The sequence below is a fragment of the Homo sapiens genome, chromosome 5, assembly GCF_000001405.40.
Source record: "Homo sapiens chromosome 5, GRCh38.p14 Primary Assembly".
NCBI lineage: Eukaryota > Metazoa > Chordata > Mammalia > Primates > Hominidae > Homo > Homo sapiens.
This window is the reverse complement of record NC_000005.10, coordinates 181,223,108-181,244,266: the sequence shown is the minus strand read 5'-3', so window position 1 is coordinate 181,244,266 and position 21,159 is coordinate 181,223,108. Positions and strand designations below refer to the sequence as shown.

The 21,159-nt window shown below is 51.1% G+C and overlaps 2 protein-coding genes and 2 non-coding genes across 11 annotated transcripts, besides 8 other annotated features; 3 read left to right on the top strand and 1 right to left on the bottom strand.

Annotated features, from left to right (window-relative positions):
• Window positions 117-186: an enhancer, noted in NCBI's record as "active region_23792". NCBI's record gives its function as "activates an Ori minimal core promoter by ATAC-STARR-seq in GM12878 lymphoblastoid cells {active_cell/tissue: GM12878}" and the evidence as "EXISTENCE:reporter gene assay evidence [ECO:0000049][PMID:35858748]".
• Window positions 267-406: an enhancer, noted in NCBI's record as "active region_23791". NCBI's record gives its function as "activates an Ori minimal core promoter by ATAC-STARR-seq in GM12878 lymphoblastoid cells {active_cell/tissue: GM12878}" and the evidence as "EXISTENCE:reporter gene assay evidence [ECO:0000049][PMID:35858748]".
• On the top strand, window positions 361-7,370 carry RACK1 (receptor for activated C kinase 1). The gene is made up of 8 exons (NM_006098.5): window positions 361-575; window positions 1,922-2,093; window positions 2,628-2,775; window positions 4,685-4,780; window positions 5,090-5,200; window positions 6,028-6,168; window positions 6,548-6,658; window positions 7,225-7,370. Exons 1-8 carry the CDS (start codon window positions 467-469, stop codon window positions 7,288-7,290), a joined length of 954 nt encoding a protein of 317 aa, NP_006089.1. The 5' UTR covers window positions 361-466; the 3' UTR covers window positions 7,291-7,370.
• Window positions 507-566: an enhancer, noted in NCBI's record as "active region_23790". NCBI's record gives its function as "activates an Ori minimal core promoter by ATAC-STARR-seq in GM12878 lymphoblastoid cells {active_cell/tissue: GM12878}" and the evidence as "EXISTENCE:reporter gene assay evidence [ECO:0000049][PMID:35858748]".
• On the top strand, window positions 891-953 carry SNORD95 (small nucleolar RNA, C/D box 95). Its single transcript, NR_002591.1, has one exon. It is a non-coding gene; the product is annotated as a small nucleolar RNA, C/D box 95 (small nucleolar RNA).
• SNORD96A (small nucleolar RNA, C/D box 96A) lies at window positions 2,378-2,449 on the top strand. Its single transcript, NR_002592.1, has one exon. It is a non-coding gene; the product is annotated as a small nucleolar RNA, C/D box 96A (small nucleolar RNA).
• Window positions 2,698-2,747: an enhancer, noted in NCBI's record as "active region_23789". NCBI's record gives its function as "activates an Ori minimal core promoter by ATAC-STARR-seq in GM12878 lymphoblastoid cells {active_cell/tissue: GM12878}" and the evidence as "EXISTENCE:reporter gene assay evidence [ECO:0000049][PMID:35858748]".
• Window positions 8,061-8,140: an enhancer, noted in NCBI's record as "active region_23788". NCBI's record gives its function as "activates an Ori minimal core promoter by ATAC-STARR-seq in GM12878 lymphoblastoid cells {active_cell/tissue: GM12878}" and the evidence as "EXISTENCE:reporter gene assay evidence [ECO:0000049][PMID:35858748]".
• On the bottom strand, window positions 8,459-20,986 carry TRIM41 (tripartite motif containing 41). 8 transcript variants are annotated; one of them, XM_006714932.4, is made up of 8 exons: window positions 19,455-20,986; window positions 13,428-13,523; window positions 11,378-11,608; window positions 10,832-10,854; window positions 10,504-10,631; window positions 9,912-10,093; window positions 9,272-9,335; window positions 8,459-8,913 (listed from the first exon to the last, which is right to left on the bottom strand). In XM_006714932.4, exons 1-8 carry the CDS (start codon window positions 20,265-20,267, stop codon window positions 8,888-8,890), a joined length of 1,563 nt encoding a protein of 520 aa, XP_006714995.1. In that variant the 5' UTR covers window positions 20,268-20,986; the 3' UTR covers window positions 8,459-8,887. The 8 variants fall into 8 exon arrangements, 7 of the variants coding, with proteins under 7 accessions (XP_006714995.1, NP_963921.1, XP_006714994.1 ...); NM_201627.3 differs by having other exon boundaries at window positions 9,918-10,093; XM_006714931.4 differs by having other exon boundaries at window positions 9,922-10,093.
• Window positions 19,093-20,090: an enhancer, noted in NCBI's record as "H3K27ac-H3K4me1 hESC enhancer chr5:180651177-180652174 (GRCh37/hg19 assembly coordinates)". NCBI's record gives its function as "activates a minimal SCP1, AML or CMV promoter by ChIP-STARR-seq in primed H9 embryonic stem cells {active_cell/tissue: H9 hESC(primed)}" and the evidence as "EXISTENCE:reporter gene assay evidence [ECO:0000049][PMID:30033119]".
• Window positions 20,238-20,447: a silencer, noted in NCBI's record as "silent region_16794". NCBI's record gives its function as "represses an Ori minimal core promoter by ATAC-STARR-seq in GM12878 lymphoblastoid cells {active_cell/tissue: GM12878}" and the evidence as "EXISTENCE:reporter gene assay evidence [ECO:0000049][PMID:35858748]".
• Window positions 20,758-20,987: an enhancer, noted in NCBI's record as "active region_23787". NCBI's record gives its function as "activates an Ori minimal core promoter by ATAC-STARR-seq in GM12878 lymphoblastoid cells {active_cell/tissue: GM12878}" and the evidence as "EXISTENCE:reporter gene assay evidence [ECO:0000049][PMID:35858748]".

Here is a 21,159-nt window from a genome sequence, read left to right as displayed (position 1 = left end):
TTGCCCCGTCAACCCTCCCCGCACCAAGTGGAACAGGCGGAGCTCGAGCTATGCCACATAGGGGCGGGGAAGCAGCCCGGCGGTCCTCATGGGAATGTGCCGTACACTTCACCTCTTTCGCTTCTCGCTCTACATCATCCCTGAGAAGCCTTTTTAAACACTTGAATGTGCTTGTTTCAGAGTGTATTTGTAAAGTGCAGTCAGATTTTGTTGTACGGAAGACGGGACTGTGATGCCTTGCAATTTCCCTCTGCCTTTTGCATTACATGGCGCCGCCATCTTGAGCAGAAATGTATCATGGGGCTCGCCATTTTGCATGGTCGAGCGGGTATTTCCGGTTCCGGCGGGGGGCTTTTCTCTCTCTCTTTCACTGCAAGGCGGCGGCAGGAGAGGTTGTGGTGCTAGTTTCTCTAAGCCATCCAGTGCCATCCTCGTCGCTGCAGCGACACACGCTCTCGCCGCCGCCATGACTGAGCAGATGACCCTTCGTGGCACCCTCAAGGGCCACAACGGCTGGGTAACCCAGATCGCTACTACCCCGCAGTTCCCGGACATGATCCTCTCCGCCTCTCGAGGTACGGACTAAGGTAGATTTCAGGACCCGAGATTGCAGGGCTGGGGGATTCCGCGTGTCGTGTAGGGAATTCCGCGTGTGGTGTGGCAGGCCGGTGGCGCGCGAGTTGGCGGGGACTGACAGACTTCTCTGCCCCATTGTGAATTGGGGCGTGCGGACCCGAGCCTAGGCCTCAACCCGGGCGAACCACATTGCAGATGAGAACCTACGTGTACATCAGCTCGCAGCTGCTAGGAGGGTTGGAGAGTTGGAAACTTTTAAAATATCTTTTGCCTTCTCCTTCGTAGTGTGGCCGGGGGCCTACGGGCCGGGCGGGGCGGTGATGACCCCAACATGCCATCTGAGTGTCGGTGCTGAAATCCAGAGGCTGTTTCTGAGCTGCCGCCCGGCCCAAGGCTCGTGGGGAGGCAGGTGGACTCCAGAGGACCTCGTGGCTCAAGTGTCGGCCTACTTTTTCTGCCCCTGGTTCTCCCCGTCCCTATCCCTGTGTTCCTGACTGCGTTTAGACGCTTCTTGTGCTTCCGCTTTGCTGCTACACTGTTAAGAATTGTCTGACTTTTGAATCATGTCTGGCTGTTAATCGTAAAATTTGTTGAGTGGGACAGGTTTCAGTAAAAGCATCCAATCCTGTAGCGCCTGAAGTGGCTTTTCCAGCATTCATTACTACATTTCTGTCGGCCCTCAGAGGTAGGCATAGGAGGCCCCAGCTACTCTACAGCCACAAACTGCTGTGCATTTGGTTGCAGAGAAGACACAAAGTGGCTGTTGAGTTCGTCTGAGTTTCAGGAAAGGGTGTCTGTATTTCTGGCACCTAAATTAAGTTCTCAGGATACAGGCTGGGCGCGGTGGCTCACGCCTATAATCCCAGCACTTTGGAAGGCAGAGGCGAGTGGATCACTTGAGATCAGGAGTTAGAGACTAGCCTGGCCAATGGTGAAACCGCATCTCTAGTTAAAAAATTAGCCAGACGTGCTGGCAGGTGCCAGCTGGCCAAGTAATCCCAGCTACTTGGGAGGCTGAGGCGGGAGAATTGCTTGAACACGGGAGGTGGAGTTTGGAGTGAGCCGAGATCATGCCACTGCACTCCAGCCTGGGCGACAGAGCGAGACTCCATCTCAAGAAAAAAAAAAGTTATCAGGGTACAGTTTACCTCTACGTGCGTTTTTAGTCTGGAATAGAGCCACTCAGTCCTGGTCTGTAACTGCTCTTGTCTGTTGTTTCCATCCCTCCTTAAGCGTCCTTAGTTGTTGTTAACCCACTCATGACCTTGACACTTAGTGAATTATCCAGTGTGTTAAACGGGCTGCGGGTTCCTCACTGATTTTTCTTCTGTTTTACCTCCTTTAGATAAGACCATCATCATGTGGAAACTGACCAGGGATGAGACCAACTATGGAATTCCACAGCGTGCTCTGCGGGGTCACTCCCACTTTGTTAGTGATGTGGTTATCTCCTCAGATGGCCAGTTTGCCCTCTCAGGCTCCTGGGATGGAACCCTGCGCCTCTGGGATCTCACAACGCAAGTAGCTGCTCACTTAGCTCTGGGGCCTTGGGAAGAATCTGGGCAGAAGTGAGGTGGATGCAATTGGCTGGTTTCCCAGGGGAGATCCAGTCCATTTGGGAACTGGAAAGCAGAGCACACCTACAGAAGATGTTTGGCCTCCCTCACTTTAAATAAGTTACTCAGCATTGCTGAGGAGTGTGGCTGAACATTTTTGCCAGGTGCAAAAGTTCTGAGTGGGCAGCAGTTTGAACATGTTTTACCTTGAAAGCTCAGGTAATTGGCAGGTGGAATTAGAGGGTCCTGGTGATGACAGATGGCATTGTCAGCCAATCCCCAAGTGGGAGTGAGGACATGTCCTGCAATTCTGAAGGGATTCTCTGTCACTTGGCTCTTCTCTTTCATATACTCAGTCACTTGACTCTGTGATCAGAGCCAAATCCAGGGTTGTATGAGTGATGCAATGAGACAGAGACAAAGCCCAGGAAATGAGTCTGACCGTTGAATGAGAGTGTTTGCTAAGTCTGAGAATGACAAACTCCTCCCTCTCAGGGGCACCACCACGAGGCGATTTGTGGGCCATACCAAGGATGTGCTGAGTGTGGCCTTCTCCTCTGACAACCGGCAGATTGTCTCTGGATCTCGAGATAAAACCATCAAGCTATGGAATACCCTGGGTGTGTGCAAATACACTGTCCAGGTAAAGTGAGCCATCTCCAAGGATCTCTTCCACCCTCTTAAACTTTGCTTTTTTTTTTTTTTTTTGGCGACAGTCTCACTCTTGCCCAAGCTGGAGTGCAGTGGCGCAGTCTCGGCTCACTGCAACCTCTGCCTCCCGGGCTCAAGGGATTCTGGTGCCTCAGTCTCCCGAGTAGCTGGTACTACAGGTGCGCAGCCACCACGCCTAGCTAATTTTTTGTGTTTTAGTAGAGACAGGGTTTCACCATGTTGCCCAGGGTGGTCTCAAACTCCTGGGCTCAGGCGATTTGCCTGCCTCGCCCTCCCAAAGTGTTGGGATTACAGGCGTGAGCCCCCACCTGCCTATCTTTGCCTTTTTTTTTTTTTTTCTCGGAGACAGTTTCGCTTGTTCCCCAGGCTGAAGTACAATGGCGTGATCTCGGCTGACCACAACCTCCGCCTCCTGGGTTCAAGCAGTTCTCCTGCCTCAGCCTCCCAAGTAGCTGGGATTAGAGGCATGCGCCACCATGCCCGGTTTTGTATTTTTAGTAGAGACAGGGTTTCTCCATGTTGGTCAGGCTGGTCTTGAACTCCCAACCTCAGGTGATCTGCCCGCCTCAGCCTCCCAAAGTGCTGGGATTATAAGCGTGAGCCACCGTCCCCCGCTTTCTTTGCCTTTTTAAAGTCTTGTCTGGGCTGGGCTCACGCCTGTAATCCTAGCTCTCTGGTAGGCCAAGGTGGGAGGACTGCTTGAGGACAGGAGAGCAGCCTGGCCAACATAGTGAGACCCCATCTATTTAAACAAAATTTTATTTATTTTTTTTCTTTTTTGAGATGGATTCTGGGCTAGATCGCAGATTTGGGATCGCAGATTGGGGGCTGGATCGGGGATTTGGGGATGGGTGGGGGGCGGTGAAAAGGTGAAAGGGAGTTGCCGCAGCTCAGAAGCCGATGGTTGGGTGTCTGAGAAGATTACAGGCGTGTGCCATCATGCCCAGCTAATTTTTGTATTTTTAGTAGAGATGGGGTTTCACCATGTTGGCCAGGCTGGTCTCAAACTCCTGACCTCAGGTGATCCGCCCGCCTCAGCCTCCCAAACTGCTGTGATAACAGGCGTGAGTCACCGTGCCCGGCCTTATCACTACTATTTTGTTTTGTTTTGAGACAGTCTCATTCTGTCGCCCAGGCTGGAGTGCAGTAGTGCGATCTCGGCTCACTGCAAGCTCTGCTTCCCGGGTTCACGCCATTCTCCTGCCTCAGCCTCCCGAGTCGCTGGGACTACAGGCGCCTGCCATCAGGTCTGGCTAATTTTTTGTATTTTTAGTAGAGACAGGGTTTCACCATGTTAGCCAAGATGGTCTTGATCTCCTGACCTCATGATCCATCCACCTTGGCTTCCTAAAGTGCTGGGATTACAGGCGTGAGCCACCACACCAGGCCCTATTATTATTATTATATTTTTTTTGGAGATGAAGTTTCACTTGTTCGTTGCCCAGGCTGGAGTGCAATGGCACAATCTTGGCTCATTGCACCCTTCGCTTCCTGGGTTTAAGCAGTGTTCCTGCCTGAGCCTCCCCAGTAGCTGGGATTACAGGCACCCGCCGCCACACCTGGTTAATTTTTGTATTTTTGGTAGAGACAGGGTTTCACCATTTTGGCCAGGCTGGTCTCAAACTCCTGACCTCAGGTGATCCACTTACCTCGCCCTCCCTGGGATTAGAGGCGTGAGCTTCTGCGTCCAGCCACCATCTCTAAATTTTTAAAAAATTTTCTTGTCTGGAATCTAAAGGGATTCTATTGAGCTTAAAGGTTTGGGTTCTTGGTTTTTGAAAGGTGCTGCCAGCCATCATCCTACTGAGGGGTAGGGCTGGGAGGTCTAGCATTTCATGGGATAGGACTGTTTGCCCTAATTTCCTTTCCATCTTCTGTAGGATGAGAGCCACTCAGAGTGGGTGTCTTGTGTCCGCTTCTCGCCCAACAGCAGCAACCCTATCATCGTCTCCTGTGGCTGGGACAAGCTGGTCAAGGTGAGCGTCAAGCCAAGGCAGGGGCTTTACCAGTCAGGGTGTGCTCCCAGGTGGTCATACACTCCAAGTCCTGTGGAAAGCTTTGCAGATGCCCTCAGTTGACTCTTTCTCTTGTCACATGGTCTGATGTCCCTTGTAAGTCAGCACACTGCATTGGATATGTGTTATAATCTAACGTGAAGTGGCCAGGACATGTTACTGAATGAGAAATGGCTACCGTATCCAGAAGTGCCAAGCCCTTTTTTGTTGGGCCTGACCCTAGCTCATCAAGAGCTAGGATGTTCACCTGTCAACCGCACGTCTATGCAGGTATGGAACCTGGCTAACTGCAAGCTGAAGACCAACCACATTGGCCACACAGGCTATCTGAACACGGTGACTGTCTCTCCAGATGGATCCCTCTGTGCTTCTGGAGGCAAGGTATTTGGGGACAAGGCGTCTCCTACTCAGTGGAAGACAGCGTCATGGAAGGAGCACTTAGCCAGCGTCTCTAACGTAAAATGGCAAACATTAGCCAAGATGGTTTTAGGAGGATAATGAGATAATGGCAATCTGAGAATATGTTTCCAAAGATTACTTTCAGCAAATGACAGTTAAGGCATACTATCTGGAAGAAAAAGATGATTTTCTATAAGCCTGTGGGTTTTTTTTGTTGTTTTTTTGTTTGTTTGTTTTTTGTTTTTTTTTTGAGACGGAGTCTCACTCGGCTGCCAAGGCTGGAGTGCAGTGGCGCGATCTCGGCTCACTGCAACCATCTCCCGGGTTCAAGCAATTCTCCCATCTCAGCCTCCCGAGTAGCTAGGATTACAGGCACCCGCCATCACTCCTGGGTAATTTTTGTATGTTAGTAGAGAGGATTTTACCATGTTGGCCAGGCTGGTCTTGAACTCCTGACCTCAGGTGATCCGCCCACCTCGGCTTCCCAAAGTGCTGGGATTACAGGCATGAGCCACCGCACCCAGCCTAAAGTTGGTTTCTTGAAGCAGTTGATGAGATTGGGATCCTGGTTTTCAGAAATGATTGGAGTGATTTATGTAAGTTGGGAGGGGTTTTTTGATGGGGTTGGTAAGGTCTTACGTTAAAGGAAAGGTATACAGAGATAAATATTGGTACTTGAGTCATTAGCTTTCAAAGAAGCCTGGGGTAATGGAGGAAAGGTAAGAATTGATTCTGACAGAATCTTGAGATGGGCAGAATTAACATCTGGAAGAGGTCACAGTGTCCTGATTTACCTTACCTGTGTCCAGGATGGCCAGGCCATGTTATGGGATCTCAACGAAGGCAAACACCTTTACACGCTAGATGGTGGGGACATCATCAACGCCCTGTGCTTCAGCCCTAACCGCTACTGGCTGTGTGCTGCCACAGGCCCCAGCATCAAGATCTGGGTGAGTGTGGGTTACAATTGACTGGGTACCTGGCTGCACTCTGAGCCCTGGCAATGTTTTGGTTATTATATATGCCATCTGACTCCCACCTGGGAGCTAAGCTTTCTCAGCCTCCACGTAATGACATTTTGGTCTGAGTAACTCTGTTGTGGTGTGCAGTCCTGTACATTCCAGGATGTTTAGCAGCATTTCCAGCTTCTACTAGATGTCAGTAGCAAACCATCCTTCCACTAGTGGCAACTGAAAATGCATGTAGGCATTGATACATGGACCCCAGGGAGCAAAATCATCCCTTTTTAACTTGAGAATCTTGAGGGGCTTTTAAGAGGAGACTCTCTTGATTGGTAAGTCTTAAGGTTGCTTTTGCCCTGTTCCCCAGGATTTAGAGGGAAAGATCATTGTAGATGAACTGAAGCAAGAAGTTATCAGTACCAGCAGCAAGGCAGAACCACCCCAGTGCACCTCCCTGGCCTGGTCTGCTGATGGCCAGGTAAGTGGGTCTGTCCTCTCAGGTGATTCTGCTTCCAGTTAATTTTCTCCCTCTCATTCTGTTAGTATATCTAGTCTGTCAGACACAAGAGCAGTGTCCTTGGCATAAAGTGAAATGACAAGCCAGGTTGATGAGGATGCCCTCGTTTGCCATGCCAGTGAATGTGTTTCTGCATCAGAGGGAAGACTGATGTGGAACGCAGTGGCTGTCAGCCTTCAATTAATACCTTAATTAATCTGACCAGTTTTCAAATGTCTGGAGCCTTATCACCAGCTGTTTCTTCCTCAAGGAATACATAACCACCACTTACAAGCTGGCTGTTGAAATGAGAGCGGTTTCTTACAGTCTACCCGGCGTTGTGGCACATGCCTACTGGAGGCTGAGGTGGGAGGATCTCTTGAACTGCAGGGGCTTAAGGCTGTAGTGAGCCAGGATCGCACCCCTGCACTCCAGCCTAGACAATGGAGCAAGGTGGACGGATCTCAAAAAAAGCCACTTGGGCTGAATCTAGTGAGACTGCAGAATTTATGCCAGCCTGACCTGTCACTGTCATTTCTTCCCTGCAGACTCTGTTTGCTGGCTACACGGACAACCTGGTGCGAGTGTGGCAGGTGACCATTGGCACACGCTAGAAGTTTATGGCAGAGCTTTACAAATAAAAAAAAAACTGGCTTTTCTGACTTTTAGGTTTTTTTTTCTTATATGCAAAAAAGCTCCATTCTATCTACATTGCTTACACATTAAGTTTGCACTAGCGAACTGGATGCAAGGTATGGACTAAGTAAACAAGGCTTTGAAGGGGAGCTGTCCGTCTAAGTTCTCAGGATTGGGGTAGCATCAGGTGGGATGTTTGTGAGAAGTCACATAGCAGTTTCCCTGAACTTAAACCCCATCAGCGTCCTACATACCACGTGCAGATCATCAGGGCCTACCTTCAACCTGGGGAACCTTCTTGAGGGAAAGAACTGATTTCAAAGTGGTTGCAGTCAATTTTTAGAAAAAGCAGACTCCGCAGGTCCAACCCCTGACACGTAAGAGTGGAAGATGAATCCTCATTCCTCTAAAGATTTGAACATAATTCAGAAAACTTAAGCTTCATGTTAGCAGTCTCTGTCAACATGGTCTTTGAGGAAAGTCAAGGGTTTTTAATTCTTTAAGCAAGGCAGTTCTCACCAGAAGAACTTAATTCAAAACTAATTTATTCCTCAGGTCAAAAGTTTTGGGGTGGTTGGTCTGGAAGCATTCATAAATAGAACCATAAAGTTGGCCCTACTAAACATTTCAACTGCTACTATAACCTGGCCCTCAATCCCCCTACACACAAACACAGTTTATTCATGAGGATAGATGCCTTGTGAAAGGCCAGAAGTGAGCCATTAAACTACAATTACAGTTTCCAATAGAAACCTCAGTACAGGGATGGAATGGTTCAACATGCGGCTGAGACCCCACTACCCTTGCAATTTTCTGTGCTAAGCAACTACAGCATATTGAAGGCCCACATGCACCCTCCACTTCCTACTCCCCTCAATTTATAATGGTGATGAGGCATTTCTGGCTTCAGTTTCAACTACGTGTGGCAAACATCTCTAAGTAGACTGAACAGTTAGTAAGTTAGGTTAAGATATTAAAATGGGGAGCAGGGTCCACATCCCTGTTGAAATAGGAGCCTGCCTGGTAACAGGTGCAAAGCATGCCTTTAACTGCAACTAACCAGTTCAGTTGTGTGGCTTCTCACTGCAGGGGCGGCAAAGGAAGAAATCCTGAGTTACACCCTCACCTGAAGGAACAGACCTCACAAGAGAAGCAAATAAACATTTTATTTCCACAGCACGCCTTCCCTTTTCCCAAAGAACATGAGTTCACCTCAGCCATCAAAGCAGAGGGCGAAAGCTGCAAGTGACAAGGCAAGAGGCTCCTAGAAAAATAGATTATACCCAAGGCTCTCCTCCTGGGGACCCAAACCCGTCCCCAGGCTCCCCCTCAGAGCTTGCCAAATGGAGTGAAAGGCATGGAAAGGGGCTGGGAGAAAAGCCAGCTCCACTGAACAAAGGGGAGAGGAGCCTGGCAGTGAGCAGACCTGGGAGGGGTGTGGGGTGGGATGAGCTTTGCTCCTTGGTTGAGTGCTGGAAAAGGGAAGGGGGAAGAAATAATTTATGTTGATGTAATTAATGTAATGATGATGTAATGGTGCGTGGTTTCAATCATGGCGACCATTCCAGATCTCTCTCAAGTGAAGCTAAATTCTGGCCGGTCTATGGAGGTAGAAATTGAGGACGGAAGGAAAGTTTAGAATCCCTCCTCCCCAGGAGAATAGACATTTATTACCCAGCTCTACCCTTTGGCCCAGCCTGCCTCCCCAAATGGCTTCCAAATCCCTCAGCTAAAATCTGCATCAGAAAATGGAATTGGAATGGGGATGTTGCCTTGCCCAAACCCTCCAGCCTCAGAACTGATAAAGAGGTTGAAGAGCAGGGGTGGGGAAAAGGAAGTTAAGGAATGAAATTACAATTTCCCCTCATCCCCTACTCAAATTCCAGTCCCAGGGCTGGGCTAGGCAGACTGGGAGAGAAGACCAGGCAGCTGTTCTCATTATCAGGGACCCATGCAGACCTGTTGGACAGACATAGTAGGTGAGAGAAGGCTGAGCTGGAGGCCAGGAGGGTTCTTTAGGCTCCTAGAGGGAGAAGCAGGGGCCTGGGGTCAAGGGGGAGTGGGAAGCAACACAGTAACAAGCAGTGGGAAGAGCCTTTGAGCCCTCAAACTTACGGGCCACCCTCCACCACCCACCCCCCAAGTGCTGACAGAGGGGCCCCTGCGGGTGGCAGGATAATCAAGGGCAGAGCTTGATGCGGGTGCCCTTGGAGAGCACCCGGAAGAAAGGAAAGACACGCTCGCCCAGGAAGGCAGCCGAGAAGGTGTGCACGTGGGCTAGAGTCTCTGCGTTGTAGAAGCCCAGGCGCCCAGCTTCATAGTCCAGGTACACACCAAAGCGCCTTGGTTTCTCACTGGGGCTCAGCAGCGTCTGTTCTGTGGAGCTCTGGGCCTGATAGCGTTTGCCGTTGGTGCCCACGCACCACACTTCCCGCTGGAGCAGGGGCTGCTGGGGCAGGTGGAGCCGGCGGCGGCGATGGTGATGGCGCGAGGAGCTGGCATCCCCGCTGCCCACGGAGGAACCCCCAGGGCCCACCTTTTCCTTATGATGGGTTGATTCACGGGCAGCACCCACCGCCCAGCCCCGCCGCCCGCCCACCTCTACCTCCCAGTAGTGCCGGCCGGAGCGGAAGCCCTGGGCCCCCAGTACGCAGCAGTCGGCCGAGAAGCGCTTGGGATGGTCAGCAACCTCCTGCCGCCGCTCTGCCAGGCGGACCCCCCGGCGGTCAGGGGACAGCATCAGGGCCGGGTGAGCCGTGTCAGGGTCCAGCGTCAGGTCCACTTGGGAGGGAGGGAGGACAAATACGCCAGGGCTGGAACGGCTGTTCCCCTGTCAGCAGCCAACTCCACAGATTGGGCCCCCTTTCTCCCTGAATCCAGCTCCCCACACCATCCCAGAGGCCAGCCTCAGATTCCTGCAGGCTCATCTTGCTCCTCACTCTTGTTCCTAGGATACCTGACAGGTCTTCCCCCAGCCTGGCTCTTCCTGCCACTCCACCCCACCCCACCCTCCAGGCCTGCCTGCACTAGGTCTACCTGCTCATGGCTTGAAACCTCAACCTCAGAGTGGCTGCCTGGATCCTGCTCCATCTCAAGCCCCACAGTTTCCCTGGGGCCCAACTTCCCTCAGGACCCAGTCTCAGGTCTGTGAAGGGAAAGGCAAAGGAAGGTCGTGGAGGTGACCTCCCTACCTCTCGCAGCCTGACAGAACATCCGGCTCATTTTCCTCACGATGGCATCTGTCAGGAAGTCATGGCTATGGGGTTGGCACGGGTCAGGGGACCAGACCTCTGGGGGCTGCAGCTGTACCTCTTCACACCTGGAGGAAGGGGACCGGGCAGGGGGTGGGACCACGATATTCCCAGAGGGAAAAGCAAAAGCTGAGGGGAAGGAGAGGAGGGTCCAGGAGATGGAAACTCAGGTCCTGGGGAAGGAAGGAGAGGAGAGGGATACCGAAGAGAAGCAGGGACAGGGAACCAGATGCCACTGGGTCACGAAGGGCAAAGACTGGGAACACACCTATTGAAAGTCTCCTTGATGTCCTGGGAATAAGAGAAACAAAAAGAGGGAGAGGGAGAAAGAGATAAAGAGAGTGTCAGCTGCACAGGGACAGCGTTCCCCGATCTCCAGTCAGAGACTGAACCTGAGCAGGAAGGGAGAAGCAGCACCCTCACGGCCCTCAATGAACACACATCCATTTCAACCACCCCATGCCTCGCCATACCTAACTCGCCTCATCCTGCTGTGAGCCCAGGGATACTGTCATTTCCACAATACGACTTGCTCACCTTTTTCAGGATGTCACTGTCAAAAAGACTTTCCTCAACTGTCATTTAAACCTCTCCTACAACCGAATCTTCATGCTTTTCACTGGGTATAATCGCCACACATACCACATTCGACATTAACTCTGTTTCCAGCTTTAAAACATGTTTTTGGTCTTCAGGTTCAATCACTGTGGGTTCCTCCCAGGGAGAAAAGAGGCAGCTCTGGACAGGCGTTTGGTAAGCACTGCCTGACAGCCAACACAGAATGCTGGGGGAACAGGGAGGGGACATTGCTCACCTGGAGCAGCCGGAGACCCCCCTGCTGGCTCCGCTCCTGGGCCTCTGCCAGCAGGCGGCTGAGCTGGGCGGCCTGTTCTGCAAGGCGACTAGCCGCGGCTCCCGCACGCCCCAGCTGGGCTTCATGCATCTCTCTGAGACGCCGTTCCAGCCCTGCCTGCTCTTCAGCCAGAAACCGTGTCAGTCGCCCAAACTCCGAGGCCACCGCTGCCAGCTCTGACTTCATCTGGCTCTGGAATGGTGCAAAGGGGATGGCAGACACCACCTCAACACGTACGAAGATAACCTCCAGTTTTGCAACTACTACTTCTCAATGCAAGGCAAAGGAGCCCTACACTCCCCAGGTCCAAGATAGTCCCGGAAAGAGGCTCATCCCCTACCAGCCTTACCAGATACCACCCCCTTGCTCCCAGCACAGTGGTCTCAAACTCACTAACCTCTGCCTGGAACACTCCTCTCCACCTGACTCTACCTAAGTTGACTCATCCTTCAGGTCCAACCTTAAATATTCCAAGACAAGCCTTCCCTCCTCTCCAGATCTAAATCGGGACCATCCCCACAAATATCACTGTATCTCTCTGTGGCACATATAATATTGAAACGTTGTGTTTAAATGACGTAACTGTTAACATCCTTTCCCCCACTGTACCATGAGCTCCCACTGACAGGGACTAGGAATGTCTTTGTTTGCCAGGGTCCTCGGACCCTGACATAGTACCAATCAGAGTAGGCACCTGGTAAAAATTTTTGAAATGAATAAATAAAAGAATTCAGGAATCAAAACATGAAGTTAGGGTCCCGACGCCATTAAACACAGTGACCTTAAGAAAGTCACCCAAAAGCCCCAGATCAGAACTCGGAAAAACTTTTTCTGTGAAGGTCCAGATAGTAAGTATTTTTATGCTTTGTGGGCTAAGAGGCAAAAATCAAGGATATTATGTAGGGACTTAATATCCTGTAACAGAAAAAACTCCTGCCCAGTCCCACCCTATTTGCCAGGGATGGCCCTTCCTGGGTGGTAGGCACACTTTTCACACAGCTACCATCGGCTGCAGACGCTGTGAGCAGCAGGCCAGAGGAGGGTCCCAACTGACCAGACGCGTGAGGGAACAGCCGCCACAGTCAGCTTCACTCTATGCCAGGGGCACACAGCTCCTGTTACCTCTATACCCAGGAGAGCCCAAAAGTATCAACTTGGGCAGCTGGCCAGAAGCACGATGACTTCCTACTCCCAGACAGATCCTACCATTCAGTGCCTAGCAGTCGCCAGCAGCAGAGTCCCTAACGTTCAGGTGGCAGTGAGCATGGGCCCTGGGTAGTGGCAAGGCCCAGGCACTGGCTGGGAAGGGAGGAGGGAAGAGGGACAGAAGGGGAGGTCCTGGCTTGGTCTATGAAGCTCACAGTGCCAGCCCATCCCAGCAGGACCTGCTGGGGTTATGAAAACAGGCGGGAGGTGGGGATGGAAAATGTATCTTAAAAGACTCCTTGGAGAAGGGCGAGCAATAATGGAAAAAAACAACAAAAAAAGCGGGGGGGTCGGGGTGTGCTGAGAAAACACTAGACTAGGAAATATTAGGTCTCTGCAGTGCTAACATACACTAAATCCTGCCCCAGCTTAAACACACTGGCCCCCTCTCAGGACACAGCAAGTGTCCCAGGACAGTGTCCGCCTCATGCTTAGGGCTGCTCTGCCCAGTGCCTGCATGGATCCTGGGGCCGGCAGCTTCTCTGATGGCTGCTATGTGGGTTTTGCTTTGCCCCCTTCAGGCTCTGGTGTCGGGTAGAAAGCCTGTTCTGCAGCCTTGGGCCAGGCACCTAGGCCCTCCAATCCAGGCCTCAGTTTCCACTCCATTTTGGAACCAGGAATGAACATGCCTCCTGATTCTCTAAGGCCCCGCTCTCCTCAGCACCTAGGGAAAGCATCTACCCCTCTCCCAGGCCTTAGCTGTCCCCTCCTCAGGGGACCAAGTCACTCCCTGTGAGAGTGGGAAGCCCTACCTTCCTTGCCTCGACTGTACTGCCCATCAGCCCCGTCGAGAACATTCACCCACCTTCAGTTCTGTCACTCGCCTCTCCTCCTTGGCTTTCATCTTCTGCACTGCCTCCAGGTGCTTCCTCAGTGGTTCCACGTGCCCCTGCAGTTTGGCCTGAGGAAACAGAAAAAGAAAAGTGGGGGCTGGGAGAGGCACCTGCCCTTCAGAGCCTACCTCTGCAATCCTCCCTATAGCAAGATGGGTCAAAGCCTGATCCCTACCCCCGAAAATGGGTGTCAAGTGAGTATTATACCTTCCTCCACTTTCTTCTTTCAGATGATGACAAAAGCCTCCAATCCCTCTGTGCACGTCTGCAGAAGCCCTGTGTGTATTTTTTTTTTTTTTTTTTTTTTTTTTTTTTGAGACAGAGTCTCGCTCTGTCGCTCAGGCTGGAGTGCAGTGGCACGATCTTGGCTCACTGGAACCTCCACCTCCCGGATTCAAGCGATTCTCCTGCCTCAGCCTTCCCAGTAGCTGGTACTACAGGTGCCCACCACCACGCCTGGCTAATTTTTTTATTTTTAGTAGAGACGTGGTTTCACCTCGCCATGCTACCCAGGATGGTCTCAATCTCCTGACCTCGTGATCCGTCCACCTCAGCCTCCCAAAGTACTGAGATTATAGGCGTGAGCCACCGCGCCCGGCCGGCCCTGTGTGTATTCTCTAAAGGTAGGAGCCTCAAGACTAGAGAGCTCCCACGCTCACAGCTGAGGGGAAGTGGCTTGAGCCCCGCACCAGAGTCTTTCCAGGGGTGCCCTCACCTTTGGTCCCCTTCCCCTTCACAGGCGATCTTCCCCAGAACTCTTCTCTCTAAATACTTTTCTGATGATTTTTTTCCTATGCTAAAACCTTTCCATGGGTCACCACCACTTCCAAAACATTGACCCCACACTTCCAGCCTCACCTCTACACTCAACGCCTTCCACACAGACTCTTAACACGTTTGACCACATAAAATTACTTGTCATTTCCTGAGTATAATTCCATGCTGTTCCCTCTGTCTGGGAGTGCCTTTCTCCACTTGGCCCAAGGTATTCTTCCTTTAAAACAGCTCCCTGAAAATGGCCCTGATCCTCCCCACCCCCAACATCCTCTGTGATCCCAAGAAATATCTAATACATGAGTTCCCAGGGCACCAATGACAGGTGTGCCTCCTCCAGGACACTGCGGAGTCCCTGCCCACACTCTACTTATTTCAACTTCTTTGCTTCTTTCTGCTCATCTGCTTTCTCTCCTGCTCAATTACTTGCTAAATGGCAAAGGACACCGAAACCCCTCTTCCAAAGGTTGTAACTGTTATAGCCAATAGGCACACGAGCTCTGTGTTTCTACAATTTGTAGCCAAATACTTTTCTTTAAAGGGCTGTTAGCCCAGAATGAGTGGAATAAGCCCTACCTATTTGCTCTTACCTTTTCTATGTCTTCTACTAGCCTGTCTCCTTTTCTTTGAGAGAGAATATAGGGTAGGAGAGCTCCAGCCTGACTCCAGTCAGGACCAGAGGGAAGTGAAGTGACCTCAGGCAAGCCATGCTTTCAGTTTCCTCAGCTTCAAATAAGAAGAGAATGGACCTCATGGATAGCACACTTACTGCAGTGCCTGGCATGTAGCAGAAGATCAGTAAATGTTATCTAATATTTGTTCCCTATACCTTAAGCTGCCAGTGACATCCTGATAATGACCCCTGAACTAAAGAGTTTACCAAGCCAGAGTGCAAACAGCAGTTGCTGCACAGGATAAGTGGTTGTAGACAAAATTACAGTAATAATGGAATTATAGTCAACTCGTGACAATAGCATGAACTACACAAAATTTGGCCTTCTGATATAACTTTCTACTTTTCTAGTCAATAATTTCTCCATTAATTCAGAATTTATAACGCTTAAATTTACCATTTACTGTTTTTTTTTTTTTTTTTTTTTTTTTGAGACAGAGTCTTGCTCTGTCGCCTAGAATGGAGTGCAGCAGTGCCATCTCGGCTCGCTGCAACATCCAACTCCTGGGTTCAAGCAATTCTCCTGCCTCAGCCTCCCGAGTAGCTGAGATTAAAGGTGCCCACCACCACACCTGGCTAATTTTTGTATTTTTAGTAGAGACAGGGTTTCACCATGTTGGCCAGGCTGGTCTTAACTCCTGCCCTCAAGTGATCTGCCCACCTCTGCCTCCCAAAGTGCTGGGACTACAGGTGTGAGCCACCGTGCCGGGACCCTAAATTGCTGACAAAAACAAAAATTAATAAGCACAAATTCAAACAGAGTTCTATTTAAGATATATTTCCTTTTTTTTTTTTTTTTTTTTTTTGAGATGGGAGTCTCGCTGTGTTGCCCAGGCTGGAATGCAGTAGCACAATCTTGGCTCACTGCAACCTCTGCCTCCCAGGTTCAAGCGATTCTCTTGCCCCAGCCTCCCGAGTAGCTGGGATTACAGGCACATGCCATCATGCTGGCTAATTTTGTATTTTTAGTAGAGACGGAATTTCACCATGTTGGCCAGGCTGGTCTTGAACTCCTGACTTCAAGTGATCCACCTGCCTCAGCCTCCCAAAGTGCTGGGATTACAGGCGTGAGCCACCACAGCCAGCCAGTTATAAGAGAAATTCTCAAAACATTTTTTCTTTTTTTTTTTGAGACAGAGTCTCGCTCTGTTGTCCAGGCTGGAGTGCAGTGGCGTGATCTCAGCTCACTGCAAGCTCCACCGCCCCCGGGTTCACGCCATTCTCCTGCCTCAGCCTCCCGAGTAGCTGGGACTACAGGCACCCGCCACCATGCCCGGCCAACTTTCAAAACATTTAACTGTCGGGCAGACACAGTAATCCCAGCACTTTGAGGGGCCAAAATGGGAAGATTGCTTGAGGCCAGTGGTTCAAGACCAGCCTGAGCAACACAGCAAGACCCTGTCTCCACGAAAAAAAAAAAAAAAAAATTAGCTGGGCATGATGGCACACACCTCCAGTCCCAGCTACTACTCAGGATCACCTGAACCCAGAAGGTCAAGGCTGCAGTGAGCTATGATCATGCTACTGCATTCTAGCCTGGCCAGAGTGAGACCCTGTCTCAAAAAAAACAAAACAAACATGTAACTGTTCAGGAACTATATTTACATATCATTTGTGTGTTATTACCTATTCAACAAAAAAAATTTTTACAAAACATTTTGCCAAGCTACTGGTTACTGCATGTACATATCTGAAAAGAATAAATGACCCACTTGTGGCTGGGCGCGGTGCTCACGCCTGTAATCCCAGCACTTTGGGAGGCCGAGACGGGCAAATCAGAAGGTCAGGAGATCGATACCATCCTGGCTAACATGGTGAAATCCTGTCTCTACTAAAAATACAAAAAAATTAGCCAGGCGTGGTGGCAGTCGCCTGTAGTCCCAGCTACCTGGGAGGCTGAGGCAGGAGAATGGCGTGAACCTGGGATGCGGAGCTTGCAGTGAGCCGAGAACACGCCACTGGACTCCAGCCTGGGCGACAGAGCGAGACTCCATCTCAAAAAAAATAAAAATAAAAAAATAAATGACCCACTTGTAAAATAGCCTATTAAGTCAGAAAGGGAATCACTCAAATTAGTCCTATACAATAAAACTATGTATTTACATTTACTCATCACTTAATGTCAGATTAAATATGTGTATATGGCCTCCCAAACTGCAGAGCGCAGTAAACAGATCAAGAAAAGAGAGTATGGCCAGGCGCAGTGGTTCACGCCTGCAATCCTAGCACTTTGGGAGGCCAAGTTGGGCGGATCACCTGAGGTCAGGCGTTCGAGATCAGTCTGACCAACATGGAGAAATCCCGTCTCTACTAAAAATACAAAAAATTAGCCAGGTGTGGTGGCACATGCCTGTAATCCCAGCTACTCGGGAGGCTGAGGCAGGAGAATCGCTTGAATCCGAGGCAGAGGTTGCGGTGAGCCAAGATTGTGCCATTGCACTCCAGCCTGGGCAACAAGAGTGAAATTCTGTCTCAAAAAAAAAAAAAGGGGGGAAAAGAAAAGAGATTATGACTTTTTTTAATTCCTCACCTACTTCAGGACCTAATACGGGATTTCAGGCAGCTGGCATTGAACAAATTTGGCTAATGCAAATTAAAATCCAGTTTCAGAAGCTCCTTGGAGCAGTCCTACAGGGGGAGGTGAAAGAGAAAGGGTGGAATGCCCATGGATAGTTTGGCCTGGGTTCCTGTTCACAAAGTGACCACACATGATATGATGGGTATGGTTAACTAGGAACTGAGGAGATGGAAAGGACAACAGGACCTCACAATCTCTGCTAAAAATGCAGGGACTAACAGCTAGGCAATGTTACCAATGCAGTGATCCCCATGCTAGACTGGGCTTTTTAAAGATATTCTCCTACTCACTGATTCAGAAACTCTAGTGGTAGGATCCACTGTATTTTTGAAAACCTCCCCTAGTAATTCCAACAATCAGGCAGGTTTAACAATCTTTGTGTAGCCAGGCACAGTGGCTCATGTCTGTAATCCCAGCACTTTGGGAGGCCAAAACAGGCGGATCACCTGAGGTCAGGAATTTCAGAACAGCCTGGCCAACACGGTGAAACCCCATCTCTACTAAAAATACAAAAATCAGCCAGCTGTGGTGGCGAGTGCCTGTAATCCCAGATACTCAGGAGGCTGAAGCAGGAGAATCACTTGAACCCGGGAGGTGAAGGCTGCAGTGAGCCGAGATCATGCTACTGCACTTCAGCCTGGGCAATAGAGTGAGACTCCGTCTCAAAAAATTAAAAAAAAAAAAGGCCACTCTGTAAAAGAAATTGTTACTTGTGATGAGGTAATGTAGGTATGTCTAGCTGTACCACTCAGAGCTGAGAAACCCTAGACACATTACTCTAAAATTGGGGTAACGAAAATAATACCTAAATGAAGTTATAGCAGGAATCAGGAGAAGGTCTGAAAACATGAGTTATAAAACAAAAAAAGCTCTGTGCAGACCACACAGAGGCTACCCCCTCCTCCTCCTGGTCCCACTGCTTCAAACCCATCCAGGCCTTCACTAAGTAGTGCTATTTGTGCTGGCTGCCTTGCAAACAAATCTCCTTTACCTATGTCCAAAGAAGAGTCAAAATGAGAAGTAGGGGCAAGGTATTTGTCAAACTAGAATCAGACTCCAAGAAAGTCACATCAGAAAAGTCAAACAACAGACATCCAAATGGTGGTGGCGTTGTTAGTATACACCAGGGGAAGGGACAGTAAATAACTAAGTCAATTATTACTGAAGCTCTGTGGCCCTCTGTATGGTACTTAAAGCCTCTCTGACTTTGTTTCCCAATCTATAAAATGGGAATGGAAAACATATCAAACTCAGTGTTGTCTGGGTTTTAACGAGACAGTCCATGAAAAGTGCCTAGTACAGTGCCTGGTATACATATAAATGTCCAGTGAATATTAACTATCAATCCTGGACAAATTAAAGTCCAAAGACACTCACAGACTTAATCAAGATTTGACAATGCAACTTGCAGAGCCAGGTCTTCTGACTGAAAAGCTCCTGCTTTCTAGTCAGTGCATAAGAATGACACAGAGCCAACCAAAGTCCTTGAAGACAGAACCAAGCCATATCGTGGTAGGTGGGGAACCCACTGGGAGGCAAGTGCAGAGCATTTGGGTCTGACACTGACACTAGCAGTTATCTCTGTGTTCCTGCTTCTGAGCCTTTTCTTGTCCTTTGAAGCCCCCAGTTCTTTCCATCTCTAGGTGTCTCCGTCAAGGACAGACTTAAGACTCACCCGAAAGAAAACGAGACTTCTGGTAAAGCCCTAGAGACCTGATCTGGCATCACCGGCTTTGCTCTATTTGCTTTGAGGAAGCCATCCTTCCCTGGTCGTCTTCACTGCATCTGCTCTGTGTACAGAATCCTTCTCATTCTAATCCACCTTGGTGGCAGTAAGTGCTTAGATAAGCAAACTTGGCTCACCAATACCATGAGGTTCTTTGGTGGGTGAAGAGATGTTTCCTTTTCCCAGGTCCCCTTACTTCCTCTCCATCCCCCCACTAAACTCCCATCTTCTCTCTGTACTTCTCTCACCTTGTACTCCTGCACCACCTCCTCCAATGGCACCACGCTGTGCTGTTTGTGGCTCCTGGATTCTCGGCACACCACACAGATGGCCTCTTCGTCTACCTCGCAGAAGAGCTTCAGGGCTTCTTGGTGTTTGGGACAGATGCCCTGATCGGTCACGCGGCTCCCTCGACCAGGGGTTGGGTGCATCTGCCGAATCACCTGGACCATATTGGCCAGCTGCAGGTTGGGGCGGAAGCTCCGCCGAGGAAAGCTCTTTCGGCACTGAGGGCATGTGAAGCACCTCCGAGGGGCTGGAGGCGGGGGCAGTGGGGTGACGGGGTCTAGATCCTCTTCCTCAACCTCCTCCAGCACTTCCTCCTCGTCCTCCTCATCCTCCCCCCTCAGGTCCTCCTCCTCCATGTCCCCCAAGTAGTAGTCCAGGTCTTCCTCCTCGTCCTCCTCCTCCCACACATAGTCCATGTTGTCCCAGCTGGACCTGCTCATGCCACTGGTCCAGAACACACCCTCTTCTTCCTCCTCGACCTCCTCCTCCATGTCACCCTCGTAGTCTTCATCCCGCATGGGGGTGTCCCACCCCGCGCCAGCCCCCACAGCCTCCACTTCCTCCTCCTCTCCGTCCTCCTCCTCCTCCTCCCGATCTAACTCATCTCTGTCCTCCTCATCCTCCCCACCCCACAACTGGGTTACACAAACTCGGCAGAAGTTGTGCCCGCAGCCGATGGACACGGGGTCCGTGAAGTAATCGAGGCAGATGGCGCACACCGCCTCCTCCTGAAGGGTCTGCACAGGGTTGGGTGTCATGGCAACGGCAGCCATCTTAGTGTCCAGCCAGCCAGTGTAGAGGTTCGGTGGGGGGGCGAGGGGCGGGGGTCTTCCCTACCGACGCCCTGGCGACCCGGCTCCACCCCCAGCCCTGCCCCTCCACACCTCGCCCCAAGAGCAGCCAGAGAGATGTCCTGCCGACAACCCACCCCAACACAGTGTTCCCTACTCCCAAACGACAACCGTGTCTCTACGAGGGGAGGGGACAGTGCTGGGCGCCACCGCCAAGTCCCTCAGGTGGCTCTGAGTACAAGTCTGCCCCAATGCTCCCTTGGACTCCTCATAAACCCCCGCCCCTCCTCACTTCCTGGCCCCGCCCCTAGCTTCCGGCCTCCTTCCCAACACTTCCGGCGTCTACACACCACCTAAGCTCGCGACTTCCCTCCGCTGTCCTGCTACTCCCCCTTTTTCCCCGCGGGGCCCCAGGGCGACAGGAAATGGCGAGGAGACGCTCTAGTCCGCACTAGAGAACAGGGCGGGAGGGCTAGGACGGTGGAGGCCCGCGTCTCTGTGGTAAGAGGCCGCGGGGAACGCAGAAAGAACAGAGGAACCGCCTACCCCCATCCCCCGCCGCTGGGGAGAAACTTCGGGGGGTAGGGGGAGCGCCTGGCGGCCGTCTGCTTTCGGTGCTATCACCGCATCGGCCAGACGCCATCCTACCCTCCCGGCACAGCCGACTGCAGCCGGTACTCCCCACAGCCGATGCCGGAAGCGAGGGGGTGGGTCCGCGGCGCGCCCTGAAGTACTTCCGGCCCTTCTAGGCAGACGACTTCGTTGTGGAGGACTCAGAGGGTCGTCCGGGTCGGACCGGGGGCGGGGCCTGAGAAAGCGCTTCGCGGGTTAGGGCAGCAGACGCCCCACCCTTCCCCAACTGTAGTCGGCGTTT